The sequence below is a fragment of the Homo sapiens genome, chromosome 3 (assembly GCF_000001405.40).
Source record: "Homo sapiens chromosome 3, GRCh38.p14 Primary Assembly".
Classification (NCBI taxonomy): domain Eukaryota; kingdom Metazoa; phylum Chordata; class Mammalia; order Primates; family Hominidae; genus Homo; species Homo sapiens.
Window position 1 is genome coordinate 37,129,663 of NC_000003.12, and position 19,089 is coordinate 37,148,751.

At 38.5% G+C, this 19,089-nt stretch overlaps 1 protein-coding gene and 3 pseudogenes across 56 annotated transcripts in view, besides 1 other annotated feature; 2 read left to right on the forward strand and 2 right to left on the reverse strand.

The window, feature by feature from the left end:
• The window catches only part of LRRFIP2 (LRR binding FLII interacting protein 2), a 123,735-nt gene that overhangs the window by 77,037 nt on the left and 27,609 nt on the right, over positions 1-19,089 (reverse strand). The gene's annotated exons all lie outside the window — the stretch shown is intronic.
• Positions 4,689-5,502, forward strand: UBE2D3P2 (ubiquitin conjugating enzyme E2 D3 pseudogene 2; annotated as a pseudogene).
• Positions 7,460-7,613: a silencer, noted in NCBI's record as "fragment chr3:37178613-37178766 (GRCh37/hg19 assembly coordinates)". NCBI's record gives its function as "represses an EF-1alpha promoter that drives an FKBP-Casp9 reporter gene in an ReSE screen in HepG2 liver carcinoma cells {active_cell/tissue: HepG2}" and the evidence as "EXISTENCE:reporter gene assay evidence [ECO:0000049][PMID:32094911]".
• RNU6-1301P (RNA, U6 small nuclear 1301, pseudogene) lies at positions 10,665-10,768 on the forward strand (annotated as a pseudogene).
• UBE2FP1 (UBE2F pseudogene 1) lies at positions 11,883-14,520 on the reverse strand (annotated as a pseudogene). The gene has a single exon (NR_168330.1). The product of NR_168330.1 is annotated as a UBE2F pseudogene 1 (transcript).

The following is a 19,089-nucleotide window of genomic DNA, read 5'->3' on the forward strand; positions in this document are numbered from 1 at the left end:
ACAGAATTCACATATCATCAAATTCACTATTTAAATGTATACAATTCCGACTGGATGCAGTGGCTCAGGCCTGTAATCCCAGCACTTTGGGAGGCCAAGGCAGGAGGATCATATGAGGCCAAGAGTTTGAGACCAGCTTAGGCAACATGATGAAACCCTGTCTCTACTAAAAATAAAAAAAATAGCCAGGTGTGGTGGTGCACACTTGTAATCCCAGCTACTTGGGTGGCTGAGACAGGAAAATTACTCGAACCTGGAAGGTGGAGGCTGCAGTGAGCTGAGATCATGCCACTGCACTGCAGCCTAGATGACAGAGTGAGACGCTGTCTCAAAAATAAATAAATAAATGTATACAATTCTGTGGTTTTTAGTATACTCACAGGATGTGCAATCATCATGACTAATTCCAGAACATTCTCACACCCCAAAATGAAACCTGGTACCCATTAGTAGTCATTCCCCATTAACCCTTTCTCCCAGCTCCTGGCAACCACTAATCTACTTTCTGTGTCCATGCATTCGCCTATTCTGGACATTTCATATACATGGAATCATACCATAGGAATTCTTCATCTCTTGCTTACAGTTACCTCCAAATCCATCTGCCTACTTCCAGAATCTGCCTTATAATTTATCTTCTACATGGTTATATGATGGACAAATCAGCCTTTCAAAATGTATTATTTCTGATCACATCATTCCACTGCATAAAATCCTCCACCAACTCCTTATTACTTATGGTTAAAGCAAAAATTCCACAGAACAGCACAAAGGGAGGAACAGAAAGAAGAAAGGTAAAACTGAAATAAGGCTCCTCACAGTCAGGTCCCCACCTTACTTCCAAGTCCAGTAGTTCCCCCCTTATCTGTTGTTTCAGTTACCCATGGTTAACCAAGGTACAAAAATATTAAGTGGAAAATTCCAGAAATAAACAATTCATAAGTTTTAAATTGTACGCCATTCTGAGTAGTATGATAAAATCTCTCAGGACGTCAATCATCCCTTTGTCGAGTATATCCATCCTGTCTATGCTACCCATTTGTTAGCTGTCTCAGTTATCAAATCACAGTGATTGTGTTGGAGTAATCCTCATTTTATTTAATAATGGCCCCAAAGAGCAAGAGTAATTCTGACAATTCAGGTATGCCAAAGAGAAGCCACACAGTGCTTCCTTTAAGTGAAAAGGTGAACGTTCTACCTTAATAGAAAAAAGAATCATGCACTGAGGTTGCTAAGATCTATGGTAAGAACAAATCTTCTATCCATGAAATTGTGAAGAAGGAAAAAGAAATTTGTGCTAGTTTTGCTGCCGCACCTCAAACGGCAAAAGTTACAGCCACAGTGCATGATAGTTAAGATGGAAAAGGCATTACATTTGTAGGTGGAAAACATGAATAGAAATGTGTTCTGATTGATGGCAATCAGGTTTGCTACTATCCACAGTTTCAGGCATCTGCTGGGGGGCTTGGAATGTATCTCCCATGGATTGGAGGGGTGGGGACTACTCTACTTGCTCCACGTGTACTGGGTGCATCCCATCTCTCTCCATTCCTGGACTCTATTGTGTTCTGTTACGCCTCTCTTCACAAACTGTTTGGCAGGAGCTGTTCTCCTTTCTCTTATTCAGTAAAATATTACCTTCTATGAAGATTCTCCCCAGTCCCTCTTTCATAAAGTAAGGCTCTATACCCATGTCTCTATTGCGGCTTTATTATGTTGTATTAAAATTCCATGCTTCTCTCACCCCACAACTTTTATGCCTCAAGGTCTGCTAAAAAAAAACAAATGAATTGCAGGGCATAGGTCACAGTATCAAGGAAATGAGATAAGGAAATAGCTTAATGTGCCACATGAAACTTAGAAATCTTCTGTCTGCTTTCTATATGGTAGTGGAATGGTTTCCTCTGTCCTTGGTCACATCCTAACTCTGATTCAGACTATCCCCTCTGATAACTATAGTTGTTGTCTTCCCATGTTGTTATATTCGTGCCCAAGTCTCATAGTAAGAATAAACTCAACCAATGTTTAAAAGGATCTACTACATTAAGCAATTATGCTAGGTGCTGAAAATACAGAGTAAAGTATGACATCTCTGCCCTAAAGCAGCTCACAAAGTTGAAGAATACAGAGACACAATGCTTATGGGAAGGAAGCATGTAGGAGGGAGAAATTAGTTTTGCCTGGCAAAGTCACAGCAGGCTTCTAAGAAGCAGAGAGAGTTAAATAGTTAACTGCTACTCAACTATTCCAATTGTGGCAATTTCCCAGTCTGTGTAACTGGTCTTTTAATAGAAAAACCCCTGCAAAGTAAATTGTAATCTACCAACCGTAAGCTGTAACCACTAACAATCTAGAGAAATTAGTTTTCTCCCATGAATTTTACACTGGCCTCCGTCTTTTCAAAACCTATGCTCTGCTTCAAGTTATCTGCCTTCTTCACCCCTCTATGAGTAGACACTAGTTTCTTATTAGAGTTTTTTTTTTTTAATAGGAAACACTTCAAGGCTTTTAAGCTTAAGTAGATAGCAAATGTATTTTAAAATCACAAAGCATCAAAACTTTCAAACCTTTTTAAGAAAGCCCTATCAATGTGTAGGAATTTTCATTTACATGTATATTAAATTGTACCTGAAGCCTCCTTTAGAAATTTAATTCAAGAATGCTAATTTTATCCTTCTAAGATTTGTCTGTGGCCAATTCTGTACAATCTATATATACTAAAATGAGACTTCCTTCATAAAACCCAACTTAGAGATAATTAAAATCTATTCTTTAATAAGACATTTTTAACTACAAAAAGGAAAGGAACAGAAAGAACATGGGCTTCAGAGACACACAAACACCCTTCCCTTTGTTACTTAGCCAACTCAGATGTTACCTCCCTTGGAGACTGTGTTGAAGAGAGGCCATTAAAACCACATGCTTTAAAAGAAATAAACAGGATTTAAAACTACTTTATCTGGTTCTTTCTATACATTATTACTAGATGCTTGAAGCAACATGGATAAGCAGGAGTAGCAAGGAGCCAACACTGATTCCAACCTAGTAGACGAAATATATGCTCTATAACTTATTGTGATATATTTTAAAATTATTTTTGAATAGACAATTATGGGTACATAAAACATACTTCTAGGTAGTTAACACTAGCATTTTTACCTCAGAATACAATCAGATAAAGAGCTGCTACAGATTCATTTTAATATACACCTCATACATACAAAATAAATGGGATATAACAATAAAGGACAACCAAGATTTAACTAAATTCACAGTAAAGGCTGGGCGTGGTGGCTCACGCCTGTAATCTCAGCACTTTAGGAGGACAAGGCGGGCAGATCACTTGAGACCAGGAGTTCAAGACCAGCCTGGTCAACATGGCGAAATCCCGTCTCTACTAAAAATGGAAAAAATTAGCTGGGCGTGGTGGTGCATGCCTGTAATCCCAGCTACTCCAGAGGCTGAGGCATGAGAATCACTTGAACCCTGGAGGCAGAGGTTACAGTGAGCCAAGATTGCACCACTGCACTCCAGCCTGGGCAACAGAGTGAAACTCTGTCTCAGAAAACAAACAAACAAAACAAAATAAAGTTGGCTAAAACACACAATTACCATTTGATCCAATAATTCCACCTATGGGTACATATACAAAAGAACTGGAAAGCAGAGACAACATATATTTATATACCAATGTTCATAGCAGCATTATTCACAACAGTCAAAATGCAGAAACAACCCAAATATCTATCAATGGACGAATGGATAGACAAATTATGGTATACACATACTTTGGATCATTCAGCCTTAAAAAGAAAATTTTGATACATGCTGCAACATGGATGAATCTTGAAGACATTATACTAAATGAAATAAGCCAGACAGAAAGGAGTAATATTGTATACTTCCACTTAATGAGAAACCTAAAATAGTCAAATTCATACAGACAGAAAGCACAATAGTGGTTGCCAGGGACTGAGGGTAGGGGGAAATGGGACTCACTATTTAATGAGTACAGAGTTCCAGTACTGGATGATGACAGAGTTCTTAAGGATAGTGGTGATGGCTGCATGACAATGCAAATGGATGTAATGCCACTAAACTATATACTTAAATATAGTTACCATGATAAATTTCATGTTACATATATTTTACCAAAAGAAGTTGGCTAATTTAAAAGTCAGAATAAGATATAAATTAGAAGTATTCAGAAGCCTAAATTATTTAAATACTTTTAGAGTCTTTCGGCTGATATGACCCCAACTGTTATAATAAAGTTAATATAAAAATTCAGAAAAATTCAGAAAAATTCAGGAGTTCAACACCAGCCTGGCCAATATGGTGAAACCCCATCTCTACTAAAAATACAAAAATTAGCCAGGCATGGTAGCGCTTGCCTGTAGTCCCAGCTACTTGGGAGGCTGAGGCAGAAGAATCGCTTGAACCTGGGAGACGAAGGTTGCAGTGAGCCGAGATGGCACCACTGCACTCTAGCCTGGGCAGCAGAGCAAGACTCTGTCTCAAAAAAAAAAAAAAAAAGACAGTGAAAATCATGGGCTTTGATCACTCCCAGAACAAATGCATTAGGTTGTATTTAAACTCACAGAACTTTTAAATTTGTAGAATATTCACTGTATCACTCAATGAATAATTAGGAATCACATAATGGACACTAAGAAAGAACTTCTCGGCCTGGCGGTGGCCTGCTCCAGTTCGAGCCGGTACCTCACTGCATCTCGCAAGAATTTGTGGATTTGGGGGTGGAACCCCATTCGGAAGAGCACAAAAAACTGCTCTTAAGTCATTGCAAAGCTACAGCTCTGGTTAGCCAGCCACAAAGTTGTCATGAGAGTCGTCTCCACAATACCAAGAGCTTGTGTCTGGCAGAGCCGGTATGAGATGAGACAATGCTGTCCCACCTCCGGGATAACCAGGAGTTTTGGCCAGACTTTTGAGCACATACCGAGAGAGTGAGGAGCCAGATGACAAGCACATACTATGGCACTAAGACAGATTAATAAGGAACTTAGTGATTTGGCCCATGACCCTCCAGCACAATGTTCTGCAGGTCCAGTTGAGGATGGTATGTTTCATTGGCAAGCCACAATTATGGGACCTAATGACAGCCCATATCAAAGCGGTGTATTCTTTTTGGCAATTCATTTTCCTACAGACTGCTCCTTCAAACCACCTAAGGTTGCATGTACAACAAGGATTTGTCATCCAAATATTAACAGTAATGGCAGCATTTGTCTCGATATTCTAAGATCACAGTGGTTGCCTGCTTTAAAACTATTTCTAAAGTTCTTTTATCCATTTGTTCACTGCTATGTGATCCAAACCCAGATGACCCCCTAGTGCCAGAGAGCACACGGATCCATAAAATAGACAGACGTAAAAGTACAACAGAATATCTCGGGAATGGACTCAGAAGAATGCCATATGATGCTACCTTAAAGTCAGAATAACCTGCATTATAGCTGGAATAAACTTTAAATTACTGTTTAAAAAAAAAAAAAGGCTGGGCACGTTGGCTCACACCTGTAATCCTAGCACTTTGGGAGTCCAAGGCGGGCTGATCACTAGGTCAGGAGTTCAAGACCAGCCTGGCCAATATGGTGAAATCCTGTCTCTACTAAAAATACACAAATTAGCTGGGCATGGTGGCGTGAACCTGTAATCCCAGCTACTCGCGAGCCTGAGGCAGGGGAATCGCTTCACCCAGGAGGCGGAGGCTGCAGTGAGCCGAGATTATGCCACTGCACTCCAGCCTGGGCAACAGAGCAAGACTCAGTCTCAAAAAAAAAAAAAAAGAACTTCCAGGAAAAGAGAACTAAACATGTACTATGGTTTATGTATTTCTACATTAGATACTTCCTTTACCATCATAATTTTGTATTATGTTCTTTTGGAATTTGAGAAAAGTAGATGAGATACAATAAAAATATAAATAATTTTAAAATGAGCAAAGGATTTAAATAGACATTTCTCCAAAGAAGATATAAAAATGACCAATAAGTACATAAAAAGATGCTCAACATCATTAGTCATTAAAGAAATGTAAATTAAAACCATATTGAGATACTTGATATCCACTAGGATTGCTATGATAAAAAATGTTTTTCAACTGAAAATAACTAAAATTGGCAAGGATGTGGAGAAATTAGAACCCTCATATATTACAGGGGTAAATGTAAAATGGCACAATTGCTGTGTGAACTGCTGAGGCAGTTCCTCAAAAGTTAAACACAGTGATACCATCCATCCACCTCTAAATATGTACCTAAGAGAAACGAGAACATATATCCACACAAAAACCTGTAAATGAATGTTCATAGCAGCATTATTGACAATAGCCAAAAAGTAGAAATAACCCAAATATCCATCAACTGATGAACGAATAAACCAGCGAGATTATCCATACAATGGAATATTATTCAGCCTTAAAAAGAAATCGAACACTGATACAGGATGCAACATGAATGAACCTTGAAAACATTTTGCTAAGTCAAAGAAGCCAGACACAAAAGGTCACATATTGCATGATTCAATTTATATGAAATGTCCAGAATAGGCAAAAACATAAAGACAGAAAGTAGATTACTGGTTGCCAGGGGCTGGGGAAGGGGAAGATGAGGAGTGACTGCTAAGTGGTATGAGGTTTCTTTTTGGGCTGATGAAATGTTATGCAATTAGGTAGGTGACAGTTGCACATCTTTGTGAATATATTAAAAACTACTGAATATTTTTAAATGGTGAATAGTTTTGATGGTATGTGAATTATATCTCAATTTAAATTTTTTAAATAGATGAGACTGAATGCATCAAAAATGCCTAAGCTAAATAAATACTAAAATATATAAAATTCTAATACATAAAACTTAATATATAAAATGGGATAAAGGGGAGCTTATAACCTATTAATAACAAGTTTGGAAAATGCTAAGTTAAACATTTTTTAAAATCAGAGTCCTTAATAATATGCATTATGAATCTCAAAGAAGAGGATAGAATATATAGTATTTCTCAGACTTGACCACATTACTAAATAAACCCTAAATGATACTTCAAGGGTCATGCTCCAAGAAACACAGTTTGGGAAATAATGATTAAGTAATATATCAGGATCCAATTACAACTGTACTAAATCTTACCTTTGCTCTTGATACTTATAAAATTAAACTAAATTATCTGAATAATCACCTCACAATAGAAAACCCAAACTATTCAGATAATATATCTACCATGGTTTGACCACTTACTTAGCAAGGATAGATCCTTATTTTCTTTCTTTTTTGGGGGGGGTGGGGGGGTGGGGGGGGGGCGGGGACAGGCTCTCACTCTGGCACCCAAGCTAGAGTGCAGTGGCATGATCTCAGCTCACTGCAGCCTTGACCTCCCAGGCTCAAGTGATCTTTCCCATCTCAGCCTCCTGATTAGCTGAGACTATAGGCATACACCACCACATCCAAACAATTTTTGTTTTTGTTTTTGTTTTTGTAGAGACAAGGTTTCACCATGTTGCCCAGGCTGGTCTCGAACTCCTGGACTCAAGCAATCTGCATGCCTCGGCCTCCCAAAGTGATGGGACTACAGGTGTGAGCCACCACACCTGGCCTTATTTTCTTTTCTTCCACAAAATAACCCATTGAAGTACAGAAGGGTTAAGTAACTTGCCTTCCCCAGACAAGCAAATACTGGAGCTGAGATCTACATCCTAAGAATCTTACTTCAGTTCACACTCTTAACCACATTGCCACCAACTTACATCTTTATAGTCCAAGTATAATTGCATATCCTTAGACAAATCATAAAAACTTACTTTGGATAATTATCCTAGGATTTTCAACTTAGCACAGATTCTCTCTTTTCTATGAAATAATACTATTCTAGTTCTCTGAATAGAGAACTAGATAGGTAAATAATCTTCTCCTTTTACCATACACAGTATCTAATAACCAAATGTAGATAATCTCCTTTTACTGTACACAGCCTTTACTCTCATTTTTTATTCCCAGTTTCAACTACCAGCCAATGAGAATGACTCAAATCTAGCATCTCAAGCTCTGACTTCTCTACCAAAATAAACACTTACATTTCTAACATCTATCTTGTCAGCACCAAAACCAGAGTGAATAAAATCAGTCTCATTTTCCCCCAGTCAACAGGCTTTGCTTCCTTATTTTCCAGTTTCCATTAATGGAATCTTGTCACTCTTGTTCAAACCCAAGGTCTGACGACCTCCTACTTCCTTAACAAATCTTCCTTTACAATATCCCTTGAATCCATCCTCTCCATCTACTCCAACAGACTCCCTCTACTTCCAAATAGGCTCTTTGTACTTTCACTTATAATACATCAAGTTTTCTAATCCTAACTTCAGTTTCTCCATCTCAACTCTATCCCCATCCGTACTATTCCATCGTGGAATTAATTTACCTGAAGCAATTTACCTGAAACAAGGAACAAGTGAGGTAAAAATGTCTCAAAGTAAAACGTGATTAGCTATATTCTGTGATGCCCAATACCCAAAGCATTCTTAAACTTTCTGATATTTAAATTTGGATTTTGTTACTGCTTCAGTTAAATAAACAGAGGGGAACAGGCTAAAATAAACTTGTTGTGGCTCATGGTGGCATTCCAAATCAGAGACTCATGTGAGGCCAATCAATCGTATTCTAAATTTTCCATCCATCCAATGGGTCTACAAGTAGGAGGAACCTATTCAATGGGCTAGGCAGTGCTGTTTCCCTAAAATAAAATCCATAAATTGAATTTCACTTGAGACTGCTATCTGAGAGGAGGAAAAGGGTATGTATATTTAAGTACTGTATCTAATGAACCACAAATAAGTGTATTTCTTCAGGATGTAGGTACTTTAAGTATATAGTAGTTCCCCCTTATCCAAGTAAGTTCCAAGTCCCCCCGGAGATGCCTGAAACTGCAGATAGTACCAAACCCTATCCCACTGTCATCAATCAGAACATGTTTCTGTTCATGTCTTCCACTCAGAAATCTAGTCTTTTCCATCATAATATACTTATCACACACACTGGCTATAACTTCTGTGGTTTGAGATGCAGTAGGAAAACTAACACAGATTTTTCTTTTCTTTCTTCACAATTTCATGAATAGAAGATGTGTTCATACCACAGATCTTAGCAACCTCAGCACACAATTTTTTTCCTTACTAAGTTGAGAACTTTCACCTTTTCACTTAAAGAAAGAATTTTATGGCTTCTCTTTGGCATATCCAAACTGCCAGAGTCACTCTTGCTCTTTGGGGTCATTATTAAATAAACTAAAGGTTACTCAAACACAAACAATGTGATACCATGACAGTCAACCTGATAACAGAGCCGGCTCCTGTGAGACTATCTAGCAGGTAGCATACACTGTGTGGATACACTAGACAAAGGGATGATTTATGTCCTGTGCAGGATGATGTGAGATTTAATCATGCTACTCAGAACACTGCACGATTTAAACAAAAATAAACAAACTGTTTATTTCTGAAATTTTCCATTTAATATTTTCAAACTGTGGTCAAACATAAGTAACTGAAACCTCAGAAAGCAAAATCACATGAAGGAGAGGCTCTGCACAATGAACCATACAAGGTTTTTAAAAACAAAATGGGTACCAATCAATGTGTAGCCTATTTAAAAAACAACAACAAAACAGGAAGGTATTTCCAAGATATATAATGTAAATGATCTGAATTATCAATGGAAAAAGTTTCTCTGCAAGACCTTATCAGTTCAGCACTTCTTTCATTATTCCAGTTCTGACACTTTTAGTATTTCCCCTCCTGTGCCAATGTTTTCATGACAGAAGGCATTTTAAGGTCTGAAGAAGGCATTCGCTTCACACCCTCCAAAGCCACTAACAGACTTCCCAGTCTTCCCTTCTTTCTTACTTTCCCTGTGGTTCTACTGAAGAGCTGCCTCTTCTGTTGTTGAAAGTCAAACCCTCCCAAGCCCCGTCACACACACTCACACACATACACACCCTCCATTTTATGATGTCCTCCCCAGGACTTTGTCCCAACTATCTGATCTCTCTTCTGGGTCTTTGCTCTCTACTTCTATTGGTTCACTCTCTTCATCATAACTAGGTTCAAAGTCTCTCTGATCTTTAAAAGGCAAGCAAAAAATCTCACCCTGGTCCAATTCTACCCTATCTTCTCTTTACAGCTAAGCTTTCTCACACCTCCCTCTTCACTTCTCACTCTCTTCAAATGACTGCAATCTGGCTTCTGCTCATATCACCTTATTGAAATTGTTCATCACAAAAGTCACTAATGACCTCTAACTACCAAACCCAATAGAATTTTTCTATTCTTATCTCATCTGTCTTTTCTGGACTTTCAATATCACTAAACACATATTCTTTCTTAAAACTCTCATCTCTTAGCTTTCTCCAATACTAGTGTCTCCTGGTTTTCCTCTTTATTCTCTCATCTCTCTCCTTCAGCATCCTTCATAAGCACATTTTTCCCTGCTAGCATCTTAAATGTTAATATAACCAAAGTTTTCAAGCTTCACCTCTTGCTCTTTTCATTCTATATTCTCTCCTGGGCCATACTGTTAGTCTGTAAATCTCTATGCCCAAGCTAGAATTTTCTCCCACAATCCTGATCCAACTTGCTATTAAAAATTGAAGCTGTGCTCGCTATGGCAGCACATATACTAAAATTGGAAAGATACAGAGATTAGCATGGCCTCTGTGCAAGGATGATATACAAATTTGTGAAGCATCTTTATTTATTTATTCATTCATGTATTTATTTATTGAGGCCGGACACAGTGGCTCATGCCTGTAGTCCTAGCACTTTGAGAGGCAGGCAGATGACTTGAGCTCAGGAGTTCAAGGCCAGCCTGGGCAACATGGGAAAACCCCGTCTCTACTAAAAACAAAAATTAGCCGGGCGTGGTAGCGCAAGATCATGCCACAGTGCTCTAATCTGGGAGACAGAATGAGATTCTGTCTCCAAAAAAAAAAAAAAACTGAGGCTCTCCCACTAGAACTCAGACTTAATACAACCTTAATTTAATTTATAATCATTCCCTTAATCTTCCTCTTCTTTTTTATATTCCCCATCAACTACCCCATTACCCAAAATATGAAACAAAGACTCATCATAAGGGTCCTTCCTCTTTTCTATCCTCCCTCCATATTCAGTTGCTAAGTCTCAACTACTTTGCTCCCATCAAGATTCTCTTTACTATTTCTTCTATCCAGACCTTCCTCTTTATTCCTATTGTCATTGTCTTATTTTAGGTTCTCATCATCTTTCACTAAGATAACTACAACAGCTTCGTGACCAGCCTAGGCAACAAAGCAAACCCCCATCTCTACAAAAAATACAAAAATTAGCTGGGTGTCGTGGTACATGCCTGTAGTCCCAAAACCCAAGAAGCAGAGGTTGCAGTGAGCTAAGATTGCACCACTGCACTATAGCCTGGGCAACAGAGCAAGACCCTGTTTCAAAAAATAAATGGAAAACTATAACAGCTTCCTGTTTTCTGCCTTCTACCTTCTACCACTCACTCTCCACTGGGTGGCTAAAGCAATTATACTGTAATTCAAATCTGAAAAAGGATTTACCCTTTAATGGCTCCCCACAGCTTTGAAAATCAAATGTAAATTCCTCAGCACACAAATCCTTTCATGATTGGTCCCTATTTCCTCCCTAACATCACCTCCTCCCATTCCCTAGCCCCTCTCCAGCTATACTGAACTACTTACTATTCTGGCAGTTTCCCACCATAGTGCTAGCTGTTTTACACCCCGGTGTCTATAGAGCTCTTAGAAGGCAATATACAAAAACCCATTAAACAAGGCTGTTTATGGTGATACATATTAAACCTTTTTTTTGAAACCAAACATTTATTTCGCATTTGATTTCATTGGTTCAAATGTTTAAAAGCTGGAGTAAATCCACCTGTCTTTCTTCTGGGCTCTTCCTCCAATGTGTGTTAATCTGGCCAAGTATGGCATATGCTGTTGCTGAATCCTGGTCCTCTAAGGCCTAAGAGGCTCATCCCCAGGCAGGGCCCGGAGTCAAAGCAAATGCAGAAGGCGGCCACAGGTACAGTCTCAGTAGCATCAGACATTGTTTGGGCTGATTCCTGAGTATCTATCCTGTCCCTCAGGACAGCCAGGGTTTGGCACTCTAAGTAGCTACTGGCTCACGATCATAAGATCACTGCAAGAACACCAACCCCAGCAGGTCCCAGCTCCAGCCAGTTTCCTCTGGGCAGCATGTGAGAATGGGCTTCCTGCCTTTTTGTTTGTTTGTTTTTATTTTTATCATCCAGATCTAGTTTCAAAGAGCTCCAAAATGTCCTTGCCACATGTGGACCTGAGAGCAAGAGATGACTTTTCAGAGCCATATTCTTGTTGCATTTGGACAAAATGAATAATGCCTTTCATAGTTTCTTTGTATTTCTCTTCAATAGGTGGTTGACCCAACATTTTTCCTACTTTTTTTTTTTTTTTTTTTTGAGACAGGGTCTCACTCTGTTGCCCAGGGCATGATCCCAGCTCATCACAGCCTCAACCTCCCTGGGCTCAGGCAATCCTCCCACCTCAGCCTCCTGAGTAGCTGGAACTACAAGCACGTGTCACCATGCCTGGCTAATTTTTGTATTTTTTGTAGAGACAGGGTTTCACCATGTTGCCCCAGCCAGCTGGTCTCAACTCCGGGGCTCACACAATCCGCCCACCTCGGCCTCTGGTCCCAAAGTGCTAGAATTACAAGCGTGAGCTACCATGCTCGGCCAACCCAACGTCTTTGCCCTATACAATGAAAATACAAAATACAAAATGAGAACACAAAAAATAAAGCATTACATTGTAAAAATTTAATTTAATTGGTCCAAAATATACTTAAATAAAATATGCATTTCAATAAAAATGTCTACAGTGAAAGACTTTATGCATTCTGGGAAACTTCATAACATGTAGATAGGGCCAACATTCACAGAGGATAAGGGCATTTGTATCCAATCACAATTTGTAGCAGGTTTCTTATTCCAATCTGCAAGTTACACTGAACACATCATGAGCATCACTTCGGGAGAAAACCAATTTTGTTGGGGAAAAGAATAAGAAAGCTCCAGCCTCAATTTTGAGTTCATTACAACTTCTCAAGAGTATCACCAACAGCCTAAACAGTACGAGTTCAAAAAAGTAAACATGTTAAGGTGATATAGTTTAGATGTCTCTTCCAAATATCATGTTGAGATGTAATCCCCAGTGTTGGAGGTGAGGCCTGGTGGGAGGTATTTGGGTCATCGGGGTGGATCCCTCACGACGTGGTGCTTTCAACACAACAGTAAGTTCTCGTGAGATCTGGCTGTCCCCCTTGCGCTCTCGTTTCCACTCTCGCCATATGATGTGCCTGCTCCTGCTTCACCTTCCACCATGAGTAAAAGCTCCCTGAGGCCTCCCCAGAAGCCAAGTAGATGCCAGTGCCATGCTTCTACAGCCTGCCAAACCATAAGCCAATTAAACCTCTTTTCTTTATAAATCACCCAGTCTTGGGCATTTATAGCAATGCAAGAACAGCCTAAAACATAAGACAAGCAGATAACTCTTTAGAAACCTAAATACGTTTTCTTGCTGTCTTTATGTTGAATTCTCCATCTACAACGGGCAGTCATGAAGATGGTCTTCGTCAGGACAACATGGTCACAGGACTGGGACAATCCAGGGGAATGAGAGGGAGAGTCAGGGGACAGGGGAGAGAAGGCAATGCCTCTTGCTGCTTTTTCACATTAGAGACAAACTGTAACACACAGTCCATGGGCCTGCAATCTTCTCCTTTTATCATCTGGCATTAACACTTGATGTAGTCATCGACTTTATTCAAGAAGTCCTCCTTGTCCTACAAATGATGTTCTGCAGCTTCAACATTCAGTGGATCGTCAAAATTCAGAAGATTAGTAAACAAATAATTTAATCTCCAAATAACATCCTTTAATGATCTCGTGGGAGCCCAGCCAGTGCTGTCAATCGAATGTCCTCAGTAAACTTTAGACATATTTCCCCTATCTCTGATGTTAGGGTACCAGATCCTGGTCAGGCATTTCACTTTGGAAGGCACCACATTGTATGCATCAGGAAGTCCAGTTTCGAGCTGAAATTTTCCACCCTAGTAGTAACCCTCGTCTGGGGTTACAGTCAGCAGAAAGCAATGAAGCTTTTTAGATCAGGAAATACTCTTGACATGTACAAGGTAAATAAGCTCAAGCTCTGCAACCTCTTTAACAATCAACTTGTCTCTCACAGAACCCTCTGACTGGGGCCGGATGCTATGGCTGACGTCCCAGACCCTTCGAGACTGTCATCGCACTTCAGTTTGCTTACAGGTGTCAGCGCTACTCCTGCCTTTACCCTGGGCACCCCAAGACAGGTGAGGCAGGCCTGGCGCCCAACACCATGCCTGGCCTGGGCAGTGGTGGTGAGACACGGCCCCTCATAGCTACATCGACTCCAGGTGGCAGGTTCAGAAGTTATTAGAACTTTTAATACATGAACAAGAAGGACACATTTTTATTTTATCACACTGATTCCTTAATAGGAGGAAGGAGAGGGATAGGCCTGGGGAATGAAACAAAGGACCTTAAACTTGGTTTATATCTCTTTCTCCCTTCCTTTCTTCCTAACATTTTAAAGAAAAGATCTGAAACAACTGTGACAACATGTTAACATTTGTTAATGCTGGGTGTTGGACTCATGGATACTTATATTATTGCCAAAATCTTTCTGTATTTAATGTTTTTCAAAAACAAGCCAGGCATGGTAGTGGTGCCTGTAATCCCAGCTACTCGGGAGGCAAGGTGGGAGAATCACTTGAGCCTTGGAGTTCGAGTCCAGCTTGGGCAACCTAGCAAGACCTCATCTCAAAAACAAAACAAAACAAAATACTACAGTAGTACACGAAAACACACTCAAATGACTTTAAAAGAAGAAAATCCTCTAGCTTTAAAACTTTAGTATCACAGTGTTGATGGTGCTAAAACTGCTATTTTAAAGGAGGCAAATTTACAATTCATAATTTGACAGAAATGCACTGAACTGAGCCAATGAGGTCTGGAATTGCCAGCCACACATATGTTCCATAACATAAAACCTATGCAACTGGCATGGACAAAAGAGAGATAATGTACAATTTGGGCCTTTACAGACTATGCTTTAATTTCAAGAAATTTGAAATACAAAATTTGAGAAAGTAAAACATTCAAAGAAAATGACTAACTCAGGTAGCAAAGACTCAGAGTTCACTGTGTTTAATTTTGTTTACTCTTCCATGACACTCATGCCAAAAAAACACTGAAAGACAAATTAAGAGACATAATATTTACTGTGTTGCCATGGTTTCCAAATTAACAAAAATTACTGCTCTATTTCCTAGCAACTTCCCTTTAGTACAAAAATTTTTAATTAAATCTTACAATATGATTATGTTTAACCACTTTAAGTTTTTGGTAGTTGAGGACAAATATTTAAATTTTTCTGAGCATAAACACCAACATGTAGTAGATAAACTCTAGGAATTTTAACTCATCTTTTTCTGATGTCAAACAACTATATCTTCCATTTACTCGGAGACCTTTTGACAGCAAAAATATTCTTTTGGAATGAGAGAGGACTTTATACAACCCAATAAACAGTATACAAAAAGTAAAACTTTGGATCTGCAATGATACATTTAACCAAAAATACTAATTTGGGGACTAATATAAATACTTGTGAGAGGGGGAAAAAAAGGTGTTGCTAGTACTGTCTTCAAATTTAGGTTAATGATATTGTGCCATCTGAATTTTTTTCTCCAAATCCCTGTAAGTCTCCAAAGCCCACCTCTCCTGGAACATGAACAATGACTTCAAATGGGTGAATGTTAGCCTTGCTTCTGATACATTTTAGAGAGCTATCTGAACATCATCTGTTTCCTCAGCTGTAAACATGGCTAGTAATAATATCTATCCTACTTAGCTCAAGACTTTTGTGAGAATCAAGATGTGAAACTGCTTTCAAAGTCATGAAAAGTTACTGAAAAACAAAAAATAAGCTATTAATGGTGGAATTAGAGAAGACTGATTGAGAAACAATCTGGCATAGTAAGAGGTTAAATGCACAGACTCTGGAGCCAAGCTTCAGAGTCTGAATCCTGGCTCTACTATTTCCTAGCTACGTAACCTTGGGGAAGTTACTTAACTTTTCTGTGCAATGGTTTCCGCATCTGCAAAATGCAGATAAAAAAACTGACTGCAGATTTTATAAGGATTAAATGAATTAATGCATGTAAAATGCTTAGAATAGTGTTTGCTACACAGCACTCAGCAAGTGCTGGATGTTAGAATCCTATACAATTTTTTAAAGAAAGCATCACATTAAAAAAAAAAGTTCAAATACTTAGTGACAACACAAAAGGAGACTAGAAGGTGGTGGCATTTTCCTCCCTTACAGAAATCTGGGTAAATCCCTCCAATTTTGAAAGGAAACATTCTGGGTAGTTTCAAATTTCAACTACAATTATGTTGTTTCCAAAATGCTTCATTTGTGCAAATAGTTAAGATCACTCACTGTAGAGTCGTATCTACGTTTTCATTTTTAAATCTTTTAACTGAAAAATATCTCACTGATTTTTAAGTTCTGGGATACATGTGCAGGACCTGCAGGTTTGTTACATAGGTAAACACGTGTCATGATGGTTTGCTGTACCTATCAACCTATCACCTAGGTATTTAGCCCCACATGCATTAGCTATTTATCCTGATGCTCTCCCTCACCCCACTGTGCTCCCTCTCCACAGGCCCCAGTGTGTGTTGTTCCTCTTCCTGTGTCCATGTGTTCTCATTGTTCAGCTCCCACTTATAAGTGAGAACATGCAGTGTTTGGTTTTCTGTTCCTGTGTTAGTCTGTTGAGGATAATGGCTTCCAGCTCCATCCATGTCCCTGCAAAGGATATGATATAGTTCCTTTTTATGGCTGCACAATATTCCGTGGTGTATATGTACCACATTTTCTTTATCCAGTCTATCACTGATGGGCATTTGAGTTGATGTAACTCAAATGTAACCCAAAACTATAAAAACCCTAGAAGAAAATCTAGGCAATGTCATTAAGGACATAAGCACAGGCAAAAAATTTCATGTTCAAAAGCAATCGCAACAAAAGTAAGAATTGACAAATGGGATCTAATTAAACTAAAGAGCTTCTGTAAGGCAAAAGAAACTATCATCAGAGTGAACAGACAAGCTACAAAATGGGAGAAAATTTTTGCAATCTATCCATTTGACAAAGGTCTAATATCCAGAATCTACAAGGAACTTAAAGAAATTTACAAGAAAAAAAAAACTCCATTAAAAAGTGGGCAAAGGACATGAACAGACACTTCTCAAAAGAAGCAATGTATGCAGCCAACAAACATGAAAAAAAGCTCAACATCACTGATTAGAGAAATGCAAATCAAAACCACAATGAGAAACCATCTCACGCCAGTCAGAATGGTGATTATTAAAAAGTCAAGAAACAACAGATGCTGACGAGGCTGTGGAGAAACAGGAGCACTTCTACACTGTTGGTGAGAATGTTAGTTAGTTCAACCATTGTAGAAGACAGTGTGGTGATTCCTCAAAGACCTAGAACCAGAAATACCATTTGACCCAGCAATCCCATTACTTGAAGGAATATAAATCATTCTATTATAAAAATACCTGCACATGTACGTTCACTGGAGCACTATTCACAACAGCAAAGACATGGAATCAACCCAAACGCTCTCATTGATTTTTAATGTATTTTTGTTATAGTAATATCACAATTTCTTATCAGGTTTTAGGTAATAACTTTCCTTTGCTACAAATAGCCTCCTACAGCATTTGACTTCTAATTCAAAAGCTAACTGAGCAGCTTCCAAAAGGAAAATCATAACAATGAGCTGGATCAAAAAAGTGTGTAATGTGTCAAAAGGAAATACACTATTCCTAAATAAGTTATTTACTAATAACAAAGAGGAAGTGATATGGTAATAATTCTCACCAAAAGAATATAATTTAATGATGCTCTAAGCAATTCTTATACCATATTAGTTTGTGGTCAGTCTGCAGTTGCAGATAGAGTCTGAAACAAAGTTGGCAATTAAGTAAGAAATCCCAGCTGGCAGTCATCTTAAATTTCCAATATACGGCAGGAAATGTTGCCAGCGATTCAATAGGTGACGCCCCTTCCCTTTTTCTTTTTTCTGAGTTACAACAAACTGAAACAAAATTGCCCCAGAAGTTCTGTTACCAGCTAACAGAATTAAACATAAAAATTCCACTGCAATGTTTCAAAAAATAAAACACTGAATCTGAACCGACATGAAATATTGTTTCCATCAACATTTACATACCACGTCTGAAGCATATTAACTGCATAGCCCAATGAGTATTTCTATAATATAGTCATCATATCTTCAACATTCTAATTATCCTAAGTTTACATTCGAAAGATTAATTATAAACTTCAATACATTATAACAAGTACATGGAACTCAAGTAACCCATAAAAATATAAAGAAAAATTAATTTTGGATGCATTGGATATTGTGAAAATTGATTATATAAATTGGAATTATCTTGTCATACCCAATTAAATTACAGTCATGAGATGAGGGAGGAAGAAAAGGAAAAGAAAAGCACTTAGGGCACAAGCACCTGCCCAGGGATTATCTGGCAAGCCAGCTGCTGAAATGACCTGCTATAACCTTAAGATCAGTTTTACCTAGTAGCTGCGGAAACGAACTGCTATAACTCTAAGACTAGTTTTACCTACCACAGTCACTCACAAATCAGAGCATGCCAGCTCCCAAAAACTTCGCTAGTGCCAATGCATTTTCTTTCAAAACAATGCATAACATTTCTCTAATAAAAACCTCAATCTTTTCTTTGTTCTTTGGACATACCAAAGACCAATGCAGTCTGTGTGTATGCCCAAATTACAATTCTACTGTCTCAAATAAAATGTGTTGTTCAGAGATTCATCTCTATATTTGATTTCTGTTGATAATATCCAACTATATTTTATTCTAACACACTA